Source organism: Homo sapiens, chromosome 1 (assembly GCF_000001405.40).
Source record: "Homo sapiens chromosome 1, GRCh38.p14 Primary Assembly".
Taxonomy (NCBI): domain Eukaryota; kingdom Metazoa; phylum Chordata; class Mammalia; order Primates; family Hominidae; genus Homo; species Homo sapiens.
The window spans coordinates 93240614-93263891 of record NC_000001.11 but is presented as its reverse complement, the minus strand read 5'-3'; the positions used below and the strand labels follow the sequence as shown (position 1 = coordinate 93263891).

Below are 23278 nucleotides of genomic sequence, written 5' to 3'. Positions count from 1 at the left end.
CAGCCCTAAGACTGTGTAATTTATAAGGAAAAGAGGTTTAATTGACTCACAGTTTTTATAGCACTGTGAAAATGGACTAATAACAGAAAACTGGTATCAGAATAGTGGGGTACTACTATAAAGATAACCTGAAAATGTGGAAGTGACTTTGGAACTGGGTAATGGGCAGAGGTTAGAACAGTTTGGAGGAATCAGAAGACAGGAAGATGTGAGAAAGTTTGGAACTTCCTACAGACTTGTCAAATGGTTTTGACTAAAATGCTGATAGTGATATGGACAATGAAGTGCAAGCTCAGGTGGTCTCAGATGGAGATGAGAAACTTATTGGAAACTAGAGTATCTTGTATGTTTTAGCAAAGAGACCAGTGGCATTTTGCCCCCACCCCAGAGATCTGTGGAACTTTGAAGTTGAGAGAGATGATTTAGGGTCTCTGAGAGAAGAAATTTTTAAGGATTCAAGAGGTGATCTGGCTTTTGTGAAAGTGTACAGTCATATGCATTCACAAAGAGATGATCTGAAATTGGAACTTATGTTTAAAAGGGAAGCAGAGCATAAAAGTTAAAAAAAAATTGCAGCTTGGCCATGTGGTAGAAAAGAAAAACCCATTTTATGGGGAGAAATTCAAGCTCGCTGCAGAAATCTTCTTAAGTAATGAGGAGCTAAATATTGCCAAGACAATGGGGAAAATGACTCCAGGCCATTTCAGAGATCTTCAAGGAAGCCTCTCCCATCACAAGCCTGGATATCTAGGAGGAAAAAATGGTTTTGTGGGCCAGGCTCAGAGCCCCACTGCTCTGTGCAGCCTCAAGACGGGGTGACCTGTATTGCTGTTGCTTCAGCTCCACCCATGGCTAAAAGGGGTCAAGGTACAGCTCAGACCATTGCTTCAGAGGGTGCAAGCCCCACACCTTGGCAGCTTCCATGTGGTGTTAAGTCTGCAGGTGCACAGAAGACAAGAGTTGAGCTTTGGGAGGCTCTGCCTAGATTTCAGAGGATGTGTGGAAATGCCTGGAAGTCCAAGCAGAAGTCTGCTGTGGAGGTGGAGCCCTCATGGAGAACCTCTACTAAGGCAGTACAGAGGAGAAATGTGAGGTTGGAGCCCCCACACAGAGTCCCCACCGGGGCACTGGGTAGTGGAGCTGTAAGAAGAGGGCCACCATTCTCTAGACCCCAGAATGGTAGATCCACCAACAGCTTGCACCGTGCACTTGGAAAAGCCCCAGGCACTCAACGCCAGCCCATGAAAACAGCCACAGGGGCTGTACCCTGCAGAACCACAGGGGTGGAGCTGCCCAGAACTTTGGGAGTCCACCCCTTGCATCAGTGTAGCTTGGATGTGAGACATGGAGTCAAAGGAGATTATTTTGGAGCTTTAACATTTAATGACTGCTCCACTGGGTTTCAGATTTGCATGGGCCTTGCAGCCTCTTTGTTTTGGCAAATTTTTCCCATTTGGAAGGGGAGCATTTACCCAATGCCTGTACCCCCATTGTATCTTGGAAGTAACTAACTTGTTTTTTATTTTATAGGCTCATAGATGGAAGGCTTGTCTCAGATAAGACTTTGGACTTGGACTTTTGGGTTAATGCTGGAATGAGTTAAGACTTTGGGGTTCTGTTGGGAAGGCATGATTGTGTTTTGAAATGTGAGAAGGACAAGAGATCTGGGAGGGGCCAGGGTTGGAATGATATGGCTTGGCTCTGTGTCCCCACCCGAATCTCATCTCAAATTGTAATCCTCACATGTGGAGGAAGGTACCTGGTGGGAGCTGATTGGATCATGGGGGTGGTTCCCCCAAGCTGTTCTCATGATAGTAAGTTCATTCTCATGAGATCTGATGGTTTAAAAGTGTGGCATTTACACACTCTTTCTCTCCTGCTGCCATGTAAGACATGCCTTGCTTTCCCTTAACCTTCTGCCATGATTGTAAGTTTCCCGAGGTGTCCCCAGCCATGTGAAACTGTGAGTTAATTAAAGCTCTTTTCTTTATAAATTACCCAATCTCAGGTATTTCTTTATAGCAGTGTGAAAATGGACTAATGGACTAATGGAAAATGGACTAATACAAGATACTTATTGAATATAGAATAATTATGTCTACATAATTATTTACAGATGAAATAATTATGTCTAAAATTTGCTTCAAATAATATGTGAATATGGGGGATGGGTTGGGAATGGGTTTAACATTTATGTTAAACTCCATTCAAGGGAGTTTGGTAACATTTTTGTGGGTGATTGATGTGGCTTGGGGGACCATGTCTTGCTTAGATTGGTGGGGCTTGTGGGGACCATGTCTTGCTTAAATACATTTAGAATCATATCTCTTTGAAAGCACTGTGCTTTCAAAGGTTAAAGGTATGTTGACACACTTCCGAGAATGCTTAGGACTGTCTAGGTTTTATGCCTGGTACCCTCATGTAATTACTATAGCATTCCTTTTCATTCTCAAAAGTATTCTCTTTTAGATAAAGAAAATGGTCAATGTATTTATGGATGAAATAAATTGGCTATGCATTGAAAATTATTAACGTTCAAAAATAAATATGAGGATGTATATACTATTTATACTATTCTATTTTTAAATATATTTAAATTTTTCACAATTAAAGGTTAAAACAATCTCATTCTCCTCCAATAAGTCAGGAGTTTTACATTTATTATTAAGTGATTTTCTGACAATTTGGAAACCTATATATTAAAAAATACTGTTGATCTCGAACTGGAAATACCATTTGACCCAGCCATCCCATTACTGGGTATATACCCAAAGGATTATAAATCATTCTACTATAAAGACACATGCACATGTATGTTTATTGCAGCACTATTCACAATAACAAAGACTTGGAACCAACCCAAATGTCCATCAATAATAGACTGGATAAAGAAAATGTGGCACATATACACCATGGAATACTATGCAGCCATAAAAAAGGATGAGTTCACGTCCTTTGCAGGGACATGGATGAAGCTGGAAACCATCATTCTCAGCAAATTATCACAAGAACAGAAAACCAAACACCGCATGTTCTCACTCATAAGTGGGAGTTAAACAATGAGAACACATAGACCTAGGGAGGGGAACATCACACATCGGGGCCTGTTGGGTGGTGGGGGATTAGAGGAGGGATAACATTAGGAGAAATACCTAATGTAGGTGACAGGTTGATGGGTACAGCAAACCACCATGGCATGTGTATACCTATGTAACAAAACTGCATGTTCTGCACACGTACCCCAGAACTTAATGTATTAAAAAAAAAAGAAAGTATAATAAAAAAAACTGTTAAAAATTATTGATCCTCTTTTCTAGCTCTCTATTACTTTAATACCATATCCTCTCATTTTTATATTCAAACAACATATATATTTTAAAAGTAAATTTTTATCAACTTCCAAACAGGTAAAAATATATACTTCAATATTATAGACAAAATATTAGTATCAAATATTAAATAGTAATATTAAATATTAAAATGCAGCAGCATGTACTTATTTTTTTTGAGACGGAGTTTCACTCTTGTCACGCAGACTTGACTGCAATGGCGCGATCTTGGCTTACTGCAACCTCTGCCTCCCAGGTTCAAGCAATTCTGCTGCCTTAGCCTCCTGAGTAGCTGGGATTATAGGCATGCGCCACCACACCCAGCTAATTTTTGTATTTTTAGTAGAGACGGGGTTTTGCCATGTTGGTCAGGCTGGTCTCGAACTCCTGACCTCAAGAGATCCACCTGCCTTGGCCTCCCAAAGCACTGGGATTACAGGTGTGAGCCACTGCGCCCGGCTGGCGTGTGCTTTTACTCCCAGCTACTTAGAGGCTGAGTGGGGAGGGTTATCTGAGCTCTGGAATTTGAGGCCAGTCTGAGCAACACAGACCCCATCACTTTTTTAAAAAGATAGCAATACTGAACTAATTTTACAATTTATTTTATGTACAATCTATTTATAATTTCAGGTGGCTTATAAAACTAAAAGAAACAATTGGATAATTATACTTAAAAACAGAACAGAGGCCATATAATGAAAGTGTAATGAGTAGTTAAGGGCAAACACTTGAAAGCGCCTAATTATTACTGATAGTTACTAAGCTGAGCTGTTAATAACAATTATATAATTATGCTGAGTCCAACAGCATTCATTCAGGTTTGTCGCTAAAGATCAAAGGTTGCAAATTCTTAGCCTTAGGATTAGATTCAGCTTGTAAATATGTTTTGTTTGGCAGGCACAATGCTTTCAAAGAGATATGATTCTAAATGTATTTAAGCAAGACATGGTCCCCACAAGCCCTACCAATCACTCACAAAAATGTCACCAAACTCCCTTGAATGGAGTTTAACATAAATATTTGCAACCCTTGCCGTATTAGAAAAAACGCTTTATTAGCACTAAACGTAAGTAATTTATTTAAATCATATACAGAGATTTTGGGTAATATCTTTAAATGTAGTTTTTAAAAAGATGAAAAATGCTATTCTAGTCAATAATACTGCCCATTTCTGTGAAGGCTCAAGACATGCTGACAGATAAAAAGGCTCTAGTATTATCTCTCTAGCTAAGTTATTATAAGAAGAAATGCTGAAAATTGCAAAGCATTATAGATTTACATCACATGAAACGGTTTATATCAGTTATTAAATATTTCCAGTTAATCTTTTACAAATGCTATTTTATATTATATATTAATTCATTTAATATTCACCACAGTTCTATGAGGTAGATACTATTATTATATCCATTTTAGACACAGGTTAAGTAACTTACCCAAGGTGATACAGGTGGCTCCGTGGTGAGCTAGGGTTTAGAACCAGGTTGCCTGGCTCAGGAATTCAAGCTCTTAACCCCACAGTATATTAAAGTGAAAGCTGTATGTTTAGGCTACCAGAAATGAAGACCACAATGTATTATTCAATAATGAACACTTAAGAGCTGGACTCATACTTTTGTCCAGATAGGTCAACCTACTTTAGTGGGCACTAACAAAACAAATTAAATTTTTCTTTACCTCCATATGATAAGCTTCTTTGAGAGATTCTACTTCTGCTGACAATTTCTTGATTTCTGCTTGCATTCTTGCTTCTAAATGAGCTTCACGTACTTTAGAAGCCCCCAGTTCTTCAGCTAAATGGTTTCCATGAGCATCCTTAAAAATGACATATTGAGTAAAAGCTATAAAACTTGTTTATTTGGTTATTATAGCTAAACTAATCCAGTGCATTATTGGAAGTAGTTTAATTTTTTATATTATATAAACACAGACACAAAGTTAACTTACTAAATAGTATGCTTTAAAATCTAGACATTTCAGAGACTATTAATGGGAGAGTATTAATATAATTGTTTGCTGTCATCATAAAATAGATGTTCACTAACCAATGCTTTCTATAAAATGAACTATTAATAATAACCTCAGGACACTGAACTCTGGCAGATAACAGTCTACTGCTAGGTATGCCTGTATATTTTTGCTCACTATATATATTGTCTGTTTATCAAGAGTCAGTTGTGTTTTTATTCAAACTTATTTATGCTAATTTAGCTAACTGTGCTTGTAATTTTAATTGTGTAATTTTATTATAGATTATGAACATGATGAAATAAGCAAATGCAAAGTTTTTATCCAAAAACTAAGTTATATGTTTTGAACCAGCTTAATAAGTAAGTCATGAACATTTTGCTATCCAATTAGAAACACTCAAAATTGTTATAAAATATGGTAGGAGGTCCCATAAAAATATAACATGGTTCACTTACAAATGTCTTTTAATTAATTATTATTAATTAATTTTTATTAATTTAATTTTAATTAATTTAATTATTTTAATTTTAATTAATGTCTTTTAATTAATTCTTCCTCCACTTTAAAGAAAGCAGAATTGGAAACTATAGATGATGGAATATAGTGTGGTGAAAGACCAGGTAGGAGTCTAGTTATGTGAGAAAGACTAGGTAGAATTCTAATCAAATGACTCATACAAAAAGAACCAAGGTTTGGCCCTACATCAAAGGAAAAACATATCAATATATATTTAGTTTTGGGTTAAAATAAGTATTTAAAACACTGTCAATTAAAAAATTCCTAACTTTAATTCACTTTTTAAAGTGAGCTTAGCTTATCAAATAAAAACCAATTGTACTATACTTTGACACTATTGATAAAGGCAGAAATGAGATAAAAGTAGATAGCTTTCCTTTTCCTAGAACCCCAAATGTATAATATATCTCTAATAAACATTCTCTATGTATGCTTTACTGGTCTAACCATCCAGAAATGTGAATAACAACATAGGTAGGCTTAACCAAAATTAAAGGTAAAAATATTTTAATTCAGTTCCTATGGAATTGAATTAAACCATGGAAACCACAATGGAAAGCTGAATTTTTTTTTTTTGCAACATCAATAAACACATTTTTCTTAAAGTCTAAATAATTAACCCAAGTATACCAATGTAAATATTTTTAAGCCAAGTAGTTAACTTCCTACCAAATACTGGAAAAATAAAATTTATATTAGTATTTTTGCTTTTTAAAAGCACTTTACCTCCAAGTTACTTTATCAACCAAGGGTTTTGAACTACAGGTTTCCTAAAAGTTACAAATTTAATAGTTACAAATTTGGATAGTTTTCATGTTTTTTTTTTTTTTTTTTTTTTTTTTTTGAGATGGAGTCTTGCTCTGTCGCCCAGGCTGGGGTGCAGTGGCACGACTTCAGCTCACTGCAACTTCTGCCTTCGGGATTCAAGCGATTCCCCAGCCTTAGCCTCCCGAGTAGCTGGGACTATAGGTGCCCACCATCATGCCTGGCTAATTTTGTTTTTTGTATTTTTAGTAGAGATGGTGTTTCACCATATTGGCCAGGCTGGTCTCAAACTCCTGACTTACTTATCCGCCTGCCTCGGCCTCCCAAAGTACTGGGATTACAGGTATGAGCCACCGTGCCAAGCCAATAGTTTTCATTTTTAAGAGTCACTACAAATGTAAAAATTTTTACTCAAAAAAGATTAGCTTTATTTTTTCTTCAAGTAAGAGCTCGAACTCACTTAAAAGTCTAAAAGTGCTTTATAACTCAATTTGAGAACTAGTTTAGCCAAAACTCAGTTCTGAAGGACTTCCTGGTTATATTACAAAGTTATCTATATATAACACAGTTCATTATTTTCTAAAATTGTGGTAAAATACACACAAAATTGACCATTTTAACCATTTTTAAGTGTATAATTCGGTGGGATTAAGTACATTCACACTGTTGTGCAATACAGTTCATTTTTGAAAGAACTATATTCTACAGTTCAAAAAAAATGCTAATATTTGTAAGATTTCAGATACATAAGATTATTTAAAATAGGGATTACTTTCTCTTTAGAGAGTTGCTTCATATCCTCCAGTTCACTAGAGAGCCTTTCTATTTCTCTCTGTGCTTGGACTTGCTGATGACGAGCCTCTGCCAATTCTGTATGAGAGTTCTGCACCTGCTCCCGGGTCAGCCTCAATTCTTGCCCCAAATCTATGGCCTCCTTGTACTGAGTGGCAATGTACTGTTCTTGCTCTTTCATAACCTGAAAAGCATAAGGTATTTGTAGGTTTCAGAATGAAATATATAGATAACCTATTTCTTATTCTGATTTTGCTTAATACGTAAATTTCCACCTTCCAACTAAATCCTTTAACATACAATGAGTATGTTAAAATTTAACATACAATGAGTATCACCCACTGTGAAACTGATATTCAAGAAAAAAATCTAATGAGAAAATGACAAAAATACCATAATTGGGACTCTTATTGATATATATTACATCACTGTAACATACACAAGCCATATAATCTTTTATCATTTTAAATGTAACATTTATGACAGAAAACATAAAGAGAAAAGAGAAGTTAACATTTGATTATCTATGTCAAAGACAGAGAATATATTGGTATAGATAATTAAAATCCACCATTTAATCCACACAGCTGGGTTAAGGTCTTACTCTCTGTGAAAGTAAAACTTGTCACTGGGGCTGCTACTCCCACTGAAATGGTTTTATATTACTCAATTAAATTTCTAATAAAGTATTCCTCCCCCTCCTCCCCACTATCCCTCCCCCCTCCTTCTTCTTCCTCTTCTTCCTCTTCCTCCTCTTCTTCCTCTTCTTCCTCTTCTTCGTTTGGTACAGGCTCCTGCTCTGTTGCCCAGATTGGAGGGCAGTGGCGTGATCACAAATCACTGCAGCCTTGACCTCCCAGGCTCAAGCAATCCTCCCATCTCAGCCTCCCAAGTAGCTGGGACCACAGGCATGCATCACCACACCTAGCTAGTTTTTTAATGTTTTTGTAGAGACAGGGGTCCCACTGCTACGATGCCCAGGCTGGTCTTGAATTTCTGGGCTCAAATGATTCTGCCAACTTGGCCTCCCAAAATGCTGGGATTATAAGTGTGAGTCATCGTGCCTGACCCTAAATTCACTTTTTAAAAGAGCAAGTGGAGGAATGAATTCACCAGTCAACACACATGCATACTGATGATATGAAGTCATCAAACTTCATCTGGCAACTCAGTGCACTTGGTCTCAATGTACAATTATTTATTTATCCATTCTTTTGATGGAGTTCCTAACAGACAAAACACTGTATCTTATTAATAGCTGACTCTTCGGCCGGGCACGGTAGCTCACGCCTGTAATCCCAGCACTTTGGGAGGCCAAGGCAGGTGGATCACAAGGTCAGGAGTTCAAAACCAGCCTGGCCAATATGGTGAAACACCATCTCTACTAAAAATACAAAAATTAGCCAGGCGTGGTGGCAGGTGCCTGTAATCCCAGCTACTTGGGAGGCTGAGGCAGGAGAATCACTGGAACCCGGAAAGCAGAGGTTGCAGTGAGCCAAGATTGAGCCACTGCACTCCAGCCTGGGCAACAGAGAGAGACTCAGTCTCAAAAAAAAAAAAAAAAAAAAAAAAAAAAAGCTGACTCCTCAATTCTATTACATAGCAGCTTCTCAATAAATATTTGTCAACCAAATAAGCATATATTGTAGATTTACTATATGAAAGATACCATGCAAAGGCCTGTATACAGAGATAAATAAGACACTGTCTTTGCCTATACCTAGACCATCAGAAAAATATTTTAAAAGGTCAAAGAAACTAACAGGTTTCTGGCACAAAAAACTAGCCTAAAAACAGTTATGGCACAGTTTCTGTATATTAAAACCAACCAGTTTAAAACATAAAGATTCATTTCACTCAACAGAGACTACCACTTGTTCCTTAGGTGGAAATAATTTGCTTACACTCTCCATTTCTTTCATCCTTTGTTGTGTTCTTTCAATTTCTTTTTTCAGTTGACTTATCTCCTGTTCATTTTGTAGCATTATAAACTCTTTTTCTCGAAGCTGTTCTTTAGCATTTTGTAATTTGTCATTCAGACTTTCTATCTGAATTTTAAACAGATAAGCAGTATCAGTAAAATTAATGAAATGTAATTTAATCAATGCTGTGTTCCAAGTAAGTCAAGCTTTAAACACTCATATCTAAAAGCAAAATATAAATAGGTTAAGGCAATCGTATCCTGGAAATAAGCACAAAAATTCTTGTTCTTGGACATTACCAGAAAGGCAGAATAGAGGGTAACCCACTCATATTCCCCCACAACAACAGGAATCCTGCACCCTCTCAGACTTCACCACTATAAAATGTATCTATGTAACCAAAACTACTTGTACCCCAAAAGCGATTGAAATTTAAAAAATTAAAATAAATAAAAGTAGAAGTTGTATTCTACCATTATATTAAATAGAGAAGACTTTTTTGTTTTTGTTTTAGCTTATAGAAGTCTGTAAATTACAAAATGAAAATTGTGTCTTCACCCCAGTCTCTCAACAATACTTAGAGGTAAATAAACACTGTTAATTTAAAATAAAATAAAATAAAAAAAGAATCCTGCACCTTTCTATAGTCAAAAGCCTCTTTGCAGGAGCCTCAGGATTCAGGTAGGAGTTTGTGAAATCCTGGTAGAGACGAAGATGTGGGAGTGTTATTTTGAGAGCACAGACAGAAACCCAGGTGGCTGATATGCCAAGCTTGCTTCTGGGTTCAAGCCTGGAAACAGCCCACGTCCCCAAGGGACTTGGCTACAGCCCCATTTGGCCTTGAGCCTACAAGCACAACCATCTGAAAAGGGGTCCATAAGGAATCATGCATACTAGTGCCTTAGTGGAAAGGCTCTCTCCCTGCTGACATCAGTCTCAGCAGTGGACCGGAAAATTGCCTGGTGACTCTGCTCCAACTCCCCTCAGCAAAGGTCCCAGCTCAGAGCTACTCACACACAGACCCAAAGGGAGACCTGTCCTTATCCTGCTGCCTAGGAGTCTAAGCCTCCTTGAAAGGCTTGCCAACCTCTGTCCCAGAGCAGATCCCAAGGGGACCCAGTCTCAGCCCCGACTCTCTTGCTGCAATCAGGGAACTATCCTGTCTGTGCAGGGACTTGCTGGGAGACACATGCACCTCTGAAATAATGAGATAGGCTCTCCAGCCTCTGTCCCACAGCAGATGCTAAAGGGGTTAAATCTCAGCTCCAGCACCTCCCACTGCAGACAGGGAACTATTCCATCTGAGCTGAGACCTGCTGGCCCTGTCTGGGCCAACAAGATAGGTTCTCCAGCCTCCATCCCACAGCAGATGCCAAGGGGGCCCAGTCTCAACTCTAGCTCCTCACACTGTCGTTGGGGAAATATCCTGTGAAGGAGCTTGCTGGGCTATGTGTGCCCCTCTAAGCTGAGACTGGGCTCTTCAGCCTCCATTCCACAATATATCCCAAGAGGGCCAGTCTCAACTCCAGCCCCTCTCATTGCAACTAGAGACTCATCTCACCTGTCAAAAGATTTGCTGGGAAACATGCCCATCTGGGCCACCAGGACAGCCTTCTGGACCTGGGTCCCTGGCAAGCATTCCCACAGCCTTAGTACGCAACTTGACCCCTTCCCAGGTCCATGTGGGCCAGAAAGCCATGTCAACCTTGAAGCCCTTGTAAGACCTGCAGCAAGCCTGGATGTAGATTATTCTCTAGTGTTCAACAGCTGCAGTGATCACAGCCTCAGGGAACACAAAAGCCAGTTTGCTTAAATTCCTGGAAGGGCCTCCCAAAAAGGACAAGCACAAACTAAGCCAGACTGCAAAGACTAAAATAAATACCCAGTCCCTGAATATGCAGATGTCGTTGCATATCTACAAGTATCAAGAACATTGAAAGAAATACAACCTTACCAAATGAACAATATTAGGCACCAGAGAGTAACCCTGAAGTGATGGAGATGTGTGATCTCTCAAAGAACTGAAAATAGGTATTTTAAGGAAGTTCAACAAACTCTAAGACGACGCAGGGAATCAATTGAGAAATTTATCAAAAAAACTTAACAGAGAATAAAATAATTTTTAAAAAATCAAACAAAAATTTTGGAGCTGAAAAATACAATAAATGAAGTGAAAAATGAAATAAAGAGCATCAACAGCAGAATGGGTCAAATAGAATCAGTGAGCTTGAAGATGGACTATTTGAAAATATATAATCAGAACTGAGGATGGTGGCTCACACCTGTAATCCCAGATACTCAGTAGGCTGAGAGGATCACTTGAGCCCAGGAGTTTGAGACCAGACTGAGTCACATAGTGAAACTCCATCACTTAAAATAAATTTTTTTTTAATTAGCCAGGTGTGGCAGCATGCACCTGTAATCCCAGCTACTCACAATGCGGAAGTGGGAGGATTCTTTGAGCCCAGGTGGTCAAGGCTACATTGAGCTATGATTGTGCCACTGCACTCCACCTCTGGGTAACAAAGACCCCATGTTAGTTAGTTAATTAGTTTGATAGATAGATAGATAGATAGACAGACAGATAGATAGATAAATAGACTACACAGTGAGAGGAGGAAAAAAGGAATAAAAAGGAATAAACAAAGCTTATGGGATCTTTGGGACAACATCAAAAGAGCAAATCTTTGAATTATTGGAGTTAAAAAGGGAACTGAGAAAGACAAAGGGGTAGAAAGCTTTTTTAAAGAAACAAAAGAAAAATTTCCAAACCTGAGGAAAGATATAAGTATGCAGGTATAAAGAGGTCAAAGATCGCTAACCAGATTAAACCCAAATAATAACACCCTAAGACATATTATAATGAAACTCTCAAAGATCAAAGACAAACACAGGATCCTGAAAGCAGTGAGAGAAAAGAAGCAAATAATATATAAGGAAGATCCAGTATGCCTGGTAGCAGACACCTCAGCAGAAATTTACAGACCAGGAGGGAGTAAGATGACATACTCAGTGTTGAACAAAAAAAACCTGTCAATCATGAATACCGTGCCAAGCAGAGTTATCCTTCAGAAATGAAGAAGAGACACTTTCCCAAAGAAAAGCTGAGGAAATTTGTCGCTACTAGACCTGTCCTACAAGAAATGCTAAAGGGAATACTTCAAACTTAAAAGAAAAACCGCCACTAATGTGACTGTTACACCAACACTGAAATCATGGTGTGTAAACCACTTATATCTTTAGTAAGACTAAAAGGCAAAATTATTAAAAATAATAATTACAACAATTTATTCAGAGATAGGCAATATAACAATTTAATTGGAACACCAAAAATTCAAAATGTGGAAGGAGAAGGAGATTAAAGTATACAAGTTTTTACTTTTTTTTGTTTTTGCTATCACAGTTGATATCAGTTTTTGATAGCTTGTTATAACAATAGGATGTTTTCTATAAGTCTCACCACAAAGCAAAAACCTGTGAGAGATACACTAAAAATAAACAGCAACCAATTAATCATACTACCAGAAAAAATCATTTAACCACAATGAAAGACAGTAAGTGGGAAAGAAAGGGAGGAGTTACAAAACAACTAAGAAACAAGTAACAGAAAGGCACAGATCCTTACCTATTAATAATAACATTGAATGTAACTGGACTAAATTTTCCATTTAAAACACATAGAGTGGGTGAATGGATTAAAAAACAAATCCAACTATATGCTTCCTAAAAGAAATTCACTTCATAAAGACACACATAGACTGAAAGTAAAATAATGTAAAAAGATGTTCCATTCAAATGGAAATCAAAAGTATAGCAGAAATAGCTATACTTAGACAAAACAGACTACAGATCAAAGACAGTAGAAAGAGACAAAGAAGGCCAGTATTTAATGATAAATGTGTCACGCTAGCAAGAGGATATAAAAATTATAAATATCTATGCACCCAGGCATATAAAGCTCCCGAGTATATAAAGCAAACATTAATAGATCTCAAGGGACAAATAGGTGGTTGCAATAAAACGACAGGGACTTCAATACCCCACTCTCAGTAATGAACAGATTGTCCAGATTAAAAAAATCAACAAAGAAACATCAGAGTTCAACTACAAACTAGGCCAAGGAGGCATTTTGTGACTGACATTTACAGAACATTTCACCCACTGTTACTGAATACATATTCTTTTTTTTCTCTCTTTTCTTTTTTTTTTTTTTTTTTTGACAGGGTCTCACTCTGATGCCCAGGCTGGAGTGCAGTGGCACAATCATAGCTCACTGCAGCCTCGACCTCCTGGGTTCAAGTGATCCTCCCGCCTCAGCCTCCCAAGTAGCTGGGAGTACAAGTGCTCATCATCACACCTGGCTAATTTTTTTTCACTTTTTGTAGAGACAGGGTCCCACTATGTTGCCCAGGCTCACATTCTTATCTGCACATGGAATATTATCCAGAATACATAAATATGTTAGGCCACAAAATAAGTCTCATCAAATTTTAAAGGTAGAAATCCTATCAAATATATTATCTAACCACTATGGAATAAAAATAGAAATCAATAATAAGAGGAACTTTAGAAATTATATAAATACATAAAATGTAAACAAATGCACCTGAATGAACAAAGGGTGAGTGAAGAAATTTTAAAAAAAATTTTAATGTCTTGAAACAAATAAAAATGGATATACAACATAACAAAACCTACGGGCTACTGTGAATGCAGTACCAAGAGGAAAGTTTATAGCAATAATTGCTTACATCAAAAAAATACAAAAATTTCAAACAAACAATGCACCTAAAGGTGCATGTTAAAAGCATTATTGAAAATATTATTGGACATATTACTGAAAATGATGCTTTTAGAATTGCATTGAGAATATATTTGATAGGATTTCTACCTTTAAAAATTTGATGAGACTTATTTTGTGGCCTAACATATTACATATTCTGGATAATACATAATACATTTATGTATTCTGGATAATTCCATGTGCTGATAAGAATGTGAGCCTGAGCAACATAGTGGGACCCTGTCTCTACAAAAGGTAAGTTCAAGTTGGTCTTGAACTGCCTTTCCCACACTGGAATAGCAACAGCCAAACCCAATATTATTAGAAGGAAAGCAGTAATAAAGATCAGAGCAAAAATAAATGAAATTGAGACTATAAAACAATACAGAGGATAAATGAAACAAAGAGTTAATTTCTTGAAAAGATGAACAAAATTAACAAATACCTTTAGATGACTAAGAAGAGAGAGAATCCAAATAAATAAAATGAGATGAAAAAGGAAACATTACAACTCATACCACAGAAATACAAAGGATCACTACAGACTGTTATGAACAACTACATACCAACAAATTGGAAAAACTAGAAGAAATGGATAAATTCCTGGACCCACACAACCTACTGAGATTGAACCATGAAGAAACAGAAAACTTGAATAGAACAATAACAAGTAATGAGATAAAAGCAGTAATAAAAAGTCGCCCATCAAAGAAAAGCCCAGGACCTGATACATTCACTGCTGAATTCTACCAAACATTTAAAGAAAAACTAATACCAATTCTACTCAAACTATTTCAAAAAATTGAAGAGGAGGGAACATTTTTTTTTTTTTTTTTTTTTTGAGACAGGGTTTCACTCTGTCGCCCAGGCTGGGGTGCAGTTGTGCACTCATGGCTCAATGCAGCCTCTACTTCCCAGGCTCAAGCAATCCTTCCACCTCAGCCTCCTTAATAGCTGGGACTACAGGCACATGCCACTACACCTGGCTAATTTTTCTACTTTCTATAGAGATGGGGTTTCTCCAGGTTGTCTAGGCTGGTCTTGAACTGAGCTCAGGCAATCTGCCCACCTCGACCTCCCAAAGTGCTGGGATTACAGGCACGCACCACCGTGCCTGGCCCACTTCTAAACTCATTCTACAAGGCCAGCATTACCCTGATACCAAAACCGGACAAGGACATAACAGAAACAGAAAACAACAGGCCAATATCCCTGATGAACACAGAGGCAGAATCCACAACAAAATACTATCAACTGAATTCAAAGACATTTTTAAAAGATCATTCACCATAACCAAGTGGAATTCATCCCAGGGATGCCAAGATGGTTCAACATACACAAATCATTAAACATGATACATTACATCAACAGAATCAAGGACAAAAACCATATAATAATTTCATATTAAAATTAAAAGCATTATTGAAAAGCATCAGATAAAATTCAACATCTTCACATTATAAAAGCTCTCAACAAATTGGGTATAGAAGGAAAATAACAGGCTGGGCGCAGTGGCTCACGCCTGTAATCCCAGCACTTTGGGAGGCTGAGGTGTGTGAAGTCATGAGGTCAGGAGTTCAAGACCAGCCTGGCCAAGATGGTGAAACGCCGTCTCTACTAAAAATACAAAAATTAGCTGAGCGTGGTGGTGGGCACCTGTAATCCCAGCTACTGGGGAGGCTGAGGCAGAGAATTGCTTGAACCCGGGAGGCGGAGGTTGCAGTGAGCTGAGATCAAGCCACTGCACTCTAGCCCGGGTGACAGAGCAAGACTCCATCTCAAAAAAAAAAAAAAAAAAAAAAAAGAAGGAAAATAACACAGTAAAGATCATTTACAACAAACCCATAGTTAATATCATAGGAATAGGGAAAAACTCAAAGTCTTTCCACTAAGATATAGAACAAGACAAGTATGCCCACTTTCACCACTATTATTCAGTATAATACTGGGAGTCCTGACTAGAGCAACTAGACAAGAGAAAGAAAGGGCATCCAAATTGGAAAGAGAGAAGTTAAATTATCCTTGTTTGCAGAGGATATAATCTTGTATTTGGAAAAACCTGAAAACTCCACCAAAAAACTATTAGAACTGATAAACAGGGCTGGCGTGGTGTCTCATGCCTGTAATCCCAGCACTTTGGGAAGCTGAGGGGGGAAGATCGCTTGAGCCCAGGAGTTTGAGACCTACCTAGGCAACATGGCAAAACCCCATCTCTACAAAAAATTAAAAAATTAGCCAATCATGGTGGTGCACGCCTGTAGTCCCAGCTACTTCAGAGACTTGAGGTGGAGGGATCACCTGAGCTTGGGATGTTGAGGCGGCAGTGAGCTATGATCATGACACTGCACTCCAGCCCAGATGACAGGGTGAGATCTTGTCTCAAAACACAAACAAAAACAAAAACTAAAAAAGAACTGATAAATTCAGTCAAGTTGCAAGATACAAAATTAACATACAAAAATCAGTAGCATTTCTATACACTAAAAGCAATCAATGTGAAAAAGAAATCAAGAAGGCAATCCTATTTAAAGCAGCTACAAAAAAATAAAGTATCTAGGAAGAAATTTAATCAAAGAAGTGAAAGATCCACAGAGTGTGGTCGCTCACGCCTGTAATCCCAAAGCTTTGGGGAGACCGAGGCAGGAGGATTGCTTGAGCCCAGGAACTCGAGGCTGCAGTGAGGTATGATCACGTGTCACTGCTCTCCAGCCTGGGTGACAGAGAACGACTCTGTCTCCAAAAAAAACAAAAAACAAAACAACAATAACAAAAAACACCCACTATTTGAAGGGGTGTTTTTAGTTACAGTTTGAATTTTTTAAAAAATAATTTAAAATACGTAATTTTAAAATAATTTACCTGTTTGTTACATTCTTTAAGTTCCAATTCTGATTTCTCCAGAGTACCTTCTAATTTAATTATTTTTTGTTCCATTTCTCCTCTGTGCTCACGAATAGTCATATCCAAATGTGTAACCTAAAAAATAACCTTAAACTGTTGTTCAATTTTATTCTGATATAAAAACTTGTATGCTTAGAATAGGCTTTGTAATTGTTTATAGCAAGTATAACAAGTATAAACTCATTAGTATAGCTAATATACTAATGCTCTTTGCTTTAGTATAAACTCAAATTATTTTTTAAATGGGAAAAATAATCATTGTTTACTAATACTGGCTCATGAGCCCCATATGCATTTTTTTTAACAATACATAGTGACATTCAATCCCATATACATTATAGAAACAATAAAATATAGTTGTGTTCATAAATGACAAATAATTCAGACTTCATTTTATGCTGGACAAAAAGTGCTAAATAACGCCTTCCAAATATTTTTGTTCCTCCAACACTTAGCTTCTTCTGATACGGGGTAATATAAGAGATCAAAAGGCTCAGATACTAAGCTAATCCTCATTTTCAAAATCTACTTGCTAGAAAAATATCAAGATAAAGAGAGATGACATATCTCTAATTTAGTAAACCCTATGTGCAGAGAAAAGATATGCTATAAAAATGCCCATTTTACAAAAAATTGGTGACCTCTCAAATCCTGTGTGACTGTGTCATAACAGAAAACTCCATTAAAATATAATCAAGAAAAATCAACCTGAGCTGCTCTTTGCTTTAGTTCCCAATTTCTCTCTTTAAGTGCCTGATCCATTTCAAGGAGCTCCTGCTTTTTGTCTTCAATCTCCATCTTGCATTCTCTACAATTTATCAAAGGAAAAAGATCAAAGCAGATAGTAGAAGAGTATAATTTTAAAAAGTTAGGTCAACCAGGTTACCTCTTCTATAAATTAAAAGCAAAATAATATATGCAATCAAGTCAGATTGAAAGGGTCAAATTTAAGGAATAATAGATAAAGAAAAAGATTGACATCAATACAATTAATTTAATAAAGGGTATTCTAAAAGGGTAAAAGTTAACTCACACTGTGGTATTACAGATAATTTAAGCTAATTGCTAAAACACTCCCAGGACTCCAAGATTGAATGATTATAAGAATTTTTAAAAATACATATCCACATTTTTTCATACACAGATCAAAGGAGTGTTTCAAAGTCTTTTACATGTAACAATTGTGACTTCATTACAATTGAATGAGGCATTTAACCATAGTATTTCTCATGAGGATGTTACTCAAAACGATGCCTTACATATAAAAAAGCACTTAAATCTAATATAAAAATATTACAAATTCTAAGCCCTCTTAAACCCTAATTTATGTATAACCTTATATTATAAAATGCTTAATACTGACACAATTTTAAGGCTTTTACCAAAGTGAAGCCTGTGATCAGAGAATAATTTGAAACTCTAAGTTCTGATAAGACAAAGGTTGAAAATGTTGATCTTGAAAATCTTCATATGATTTTCCAGTCTGAAATATGAAATAGTACTGATAAGGGTACTAATTTTTAAAAGAAGATTTTGAACTTCTTTAATGAGTTGTTTTTAATATTCTTCTAAAAGTCTCAAGAGGTATATAACACAAGGCTAAAACTAATATTCTAAAAATAGTATGAAATTAAAGAAAACTCTAACTTCTATCTATGCAAATAGCGGAGCTTCCACAATTCATCTGTTAGCTAGAACTTAAGATTTCACTGTTTACATCTTTCATGTTTTCATTCACTTATTTATTTTGCAAATATTTACTGGATGTTTCCTATATGCCAGGGTTCTAAGTGCTGTGGATTTAATAGTAAAAAAGATAAATGTCTCTGATCTGAGTTTACATTGTAATAGGTCCAGAAGAAAAGACAGACACCTAAGTAAGAAAAATATAATATTAAATGCTATGTTAGAGCATTAACTGCATGATGAGGTAGTGACTGGGTGGCTACTTTAGAGTGGGTAGTCAGAGAAGGCTTCTCTCTGAAGTAATGTGAAGGACAAGAAGAAGCTGACCATGTAACTGTTATTCCAGTAAAAAGAAACAGCTATGGCCAAGGTTCCATGGTAGAAGAAAACTTGGTAAGTGTAAAGTATAAGAAAAATGTCAGGAACAAGGACAGGAACCAGACCACATAAGGCTTTGTATTCAAGATAAGGAACTTGGATTTTTTTAACTGTGGTAAAATTCATATAATATAAAATTTACCATTTTAACCATTTTAAAGTGCACAGTTCAGAAGCATTAAGTATATTCATAATGTTATGTAACCATCACCACTATCTATGTCCAGTATTTTTCCATCAGTCCCCCACAAAGAACTTCCTACTCATTAGCACTTATTTTCCATTTTCCCTTCCCCTAGTCCCTGGCAACCACTAATCTTTCTTTCTCTATGAATTTGCCAATTCTGAATATTTCATATAAATGGAATTATGCAACATGTGTCTGGCTTTCACTTAGCATAATGTTTTCAAAGTTCATGCACTTTGTACCATGTATCAGTAGTTCATTCGTTTTTATGACTGAATAATATTCTTTGTATGGATACACTATATGATATGGTTTGGCTGTGTTCCCACCCAAATCTGATCTTGAATTCTACATGTTTAGGAGAAACCCAGTGGGAGGTAATTGAATCATGGGGGCAGGTCTCTCCTTGGCTATTCTTGTGACAGTGAATAAGTCTCATGAGATCTGATGGTTTTAAAAATGGGAGGTTCCCTGCACAAGTTCTCTTGTCTGCTACCAGTGAGATGTGCCTTTCACCTTCCACCATGATTGTGAGGCCTCCCCAGCCACGTGGAACTGTGAGTCCATTAAACCTCTTTCTTTTGTAAATTGTGCAGTCTCAGGTATGTCTTTATCAACAGCGTGAAAACTCACTAATACAGTAAATTGGTACCAGTAAAGTGGGGCACTACTGTAGATACCCAAAAATGTGGAAGCGACTTTGGAACTGGGTAACAGGTAGGGTTGGAACAGTTTGGAGGGCTCAGAAGAATACAGGAAAATGTGGGAAAATTTGGAACTTCCTAGAGACTTGTTCAATGGCTTTGACCAAAATTCTGATAGCAATATGGACAATAAAGTCCAGAATGAGGTGGTCTTGGAGAGAAATGAGGAACTTGTTGGGAACTGGAGCAAAGGTGACTCTTAAGTTTTAGCAAAGAGACTGGTGGCATTTTGCCCCTGCCCTAGAGATTTGTGGAATTTTGAACTTCGGAGAGATGATTTAGCGTATCTGGTGGAAGAAATTTCTAAGCAACAAAGCACTCCAGAGGTGACTTGAGTGTGATAGAAAAGAAAATCCCATTTTCTGAGGAGAAATTCAAGCTGGCTGCAGAAATTTGCATAAGTAATGAGAAGCCAAATGTTAATCCCCAAGACAATGGGGAAAATGTCTCCAGGGCATGTCAGAGGTCTCTGGAGCAGCCTCTCCCATCACAGGCCTGGAGGCCTAGGAGGAAAAAATGGTTTCATGGGTGGGATCCAGGGTCACCACGCTGTGTGCAGCCTAGGGACTTGGTGCCCTGCATCCCAGTCACTGTAGCTGTGGCGGAAAAAGGACAACATAGAGCACAGGCCGTGGCTTCAGAGGGTGCAAGCCCCATGCCTTGGCAGCTTCTACCCAATGTTGAATCTGTGAGTACACAGAAGTCAAGAATTGAGGTTTGGGAACCTCCACCTAGATTTCAGAGGATATATGGAAAGGCCTGGTTCTCCAGGCAGAAGTTTGCTGCTGAGGCAGGGCTTCATGGAGAACCTCTGCTAGGAAAGTGTGGAAGGGAAATGTGGGGTGGGCACCCCCATACAGAGTCCCCACTGGGGCGCTGCCTGGTAGAGCTGTGAGAAGAGGGAGGGCCACCATCCTCCAGAACCCCAGAATAACAGATGCACTGACAGCTTGCACCATGAGCCTGGAAAAGCCACAGATACTCAATGCCAGCCGGTGGAAGCAGCCAGGAGAAAGGCTATAGCCTACAAAGTCACAGGGGTGGAGCTGCCAAGACCAAGGAAACCCACCTCTTGCATCAGTGTGACCTGGATGTGAGACATGGAGTCAAAATAGATCATTTTGGAGCTTTAAGATTTAACTGCCCTGCTGAATTTCAGACTTGCATGGGGCCTGTAGCCCCTTTGTTTTGGCCAATTTCTACCATTTGGAATGGGTGTATTTACCCAATGTCTGTACCCCCACTGTATCTAGGAAGTAACTAACTTGCTTTTGATTTTACAGGCTGATAGGCAGAAGGGATTTGCCTTGTCTCAGATGAGACTTTGGACTGTGGACTTTTGAGTTACTGCTCAAATGAATTAAGACTTTGAGAGACTGTTGGGAAGGCATAATTTGTTTTGAAATGTGAGGACATGAGATTTGGGAGGGGCCGGGGCAGAATGATACAGTTTGGCTGTGACCCCATCCAAATCTCATCTTGAATTCCCATGTGTTGTGAGAGAGACCCAGTGGGAGGTAACTGAATCATGGGGGCAGGTCTTTCCCATGCTGTTCTCATGAGAGTGAATCAGTCTCAAGAGATCTGATGGTTTTATAAAGCGGAGTTTCCCTGCGCAAGCTCTCTTGTCTGCCACCATATGAGATGTGTCTTTCACCTTCCACCATGATTGTGAGGCCTCCCCAGCCACGTGGAACTGTGAGTCCATTAAACTTCTTTCTTTGGTGAATTGCCCAGTCTCAGGTATGTCTTTATCAGCAGCATGAAAACGGACTAAGACACTATATTTTGTTTATCCATTCATCTGATGATGAACATTTGGGGTGTTTTCACTTTTTGGCTTACTTTGTAAACATTTGTATACAATTTTTGCTTAGATATCTGTTTTCAACCCTTTTGAGTACAAAACTAGGAGTGGAATTACTGAGTCATATGGTAATTCTACGTTCAACTTACTGAGGAAGGCTAAAGTGTTTTCTACAGTGGCTGCACCATTTTAGATCCCCTCCAGCAATGAATGAGGGTTTCATTTTTTTTCTACACTTGCTAACACTTGTTCTTTTCCATTTTTTGGTTTTTAAAAATGACCATCCTTGGTATGAAGTGATATATCAATGTAGTTTTTATTTTCATTTGTGAAGGAGTTTGGATTTTATTCTGAAGGTTTTAGAAAGCCATTAGAAGGTTTAAGTAGGTAAGCAATATGATCTATTTTTTTTTTTTTTTTTTTTTTTGAGATGGAGTCTCACTCTGTCACTCAGGCTGGAATGGATCATGGCTCATTCTTGGCTCATTGCAACCTCCACCTCCCAGGTTCAAACAATTCTCCTGCCTCAGCCTCCTGAGTAGCTAAGACTACACACACCTGCCACCACACCTGGCTGATTTTTGCATTTTTAGTAGAGATGGGGTTTCACCATATTGGCCAGGCTGGTTTCAAACTCCTGACCTTGTGATCTGCTTGTCTCGGCCTCCCAAAGTGTTGGGATTACAGGCGTGAGCCACCGCGCCTGGTCTAATTTATGTTTTAAATAATAAACTTAAATCTATTTTTGGAAAATGGATTGTTGGGAGGGGGTCAAGATTGTAAGCAGAGAGCCCAGCTAGGAAGCCACAGCAACAGACCAGGTAAGAGATGATGCTTTGTGCTAAGGATAACAGAAAAGAGGCCACGAAATCAATGGATTTAAGAATGTGTTTTGGGGCTGGGTGCAGTGGCTCATGTCTGTAATCTCAGCACCTTGGGAGGCCCAGGTGGATGGATCACCTGAGGTCAGGAGTTCAAGACCAGTCTGGCCAACGTGGTGAAACCCCGCCTCTATTAACAATACAAAAATTAGCCAGGCGTGGTGGCAGGTGCCTGTAATCCCAGTTACTTGGTGGCTGAGGCAGGAGAATTGCTTGAACAGGAGGTGGAGGCTGCAGTGAGCTGAGATCATGCCACTGCACTCCAACCTGGGCAAGAATCTGTCTGAAAAAAAATATATATATATGTTTTGGAAATAAAGTTGACATGGCTTGCTAATACACTGGATGAAAAAAGGGATGGAAAGAGAGAACAAGAAAAATCTTATATATTTGTGGTTTGAGCAACTGCATGATACTGAGTTAGGAGAAGGGTAGGGTTATGAGAAAATATGAGTCCTATTTTGGCTAAGTCTGAGATGCCTCTTAAAAATATCCGAATGGAGGTAACAACTAGTTGGATATTGAATCTGGAGTTACAGGAAAAGGTCAATACTGGAGAAATGGGTTTGGAAGTGTCTGACACATAGTATTTAAAGCTACATGAAATTTACTAAGGATGAGTTTGTGGATACAGAAGAGAAGGAGGCCCTACACTG

The 23278-nt window shown here is 38.0% G+C and overlaps 1 protein-coding gene across 39 annotated transcripts in view; it reads right to left on the bottom strand.

Annotated features, from left to right (window-relative positions):
* Positions 1-23278, bottom strand: part of CCDC18 (coiled-coil domain containing 18) — a 98818-nt gene that overhangs the window by 14839 nt on the left and 60701 nt on the right. For 32 of the 39 annotated variants that reach the window (XM_017001164.3, XM_017001162.3, XM_011541361.4 and 29 more), the window contains 5 exons: positions 17688-17787; positions 16938-17054; positions 9278-9421; positions 7354-7557; positions 5007-5144 (listed from right to left, as the gene is read on the bottom strand). In XM_017001164.3, coding sequence (XP_016856653.1) covers positions 5007-5144; positions 7354-7557; positions 9278-9421; positions 16938-17054; positions 17688-17787 — 703 coding nt within the window. Of the gene's footprint in view, positions 1-5006; positions 5145-7353; positions 7558-9277; positions 9422-16937; positions 17055-17687; positions 18463-23278 lie in introns of those variants that run through there. The other 7 variants (XM_017001161.3, XM_047419516.1, XM_017001160.3 and 4 more) reach the window with 2 other exon arrangements.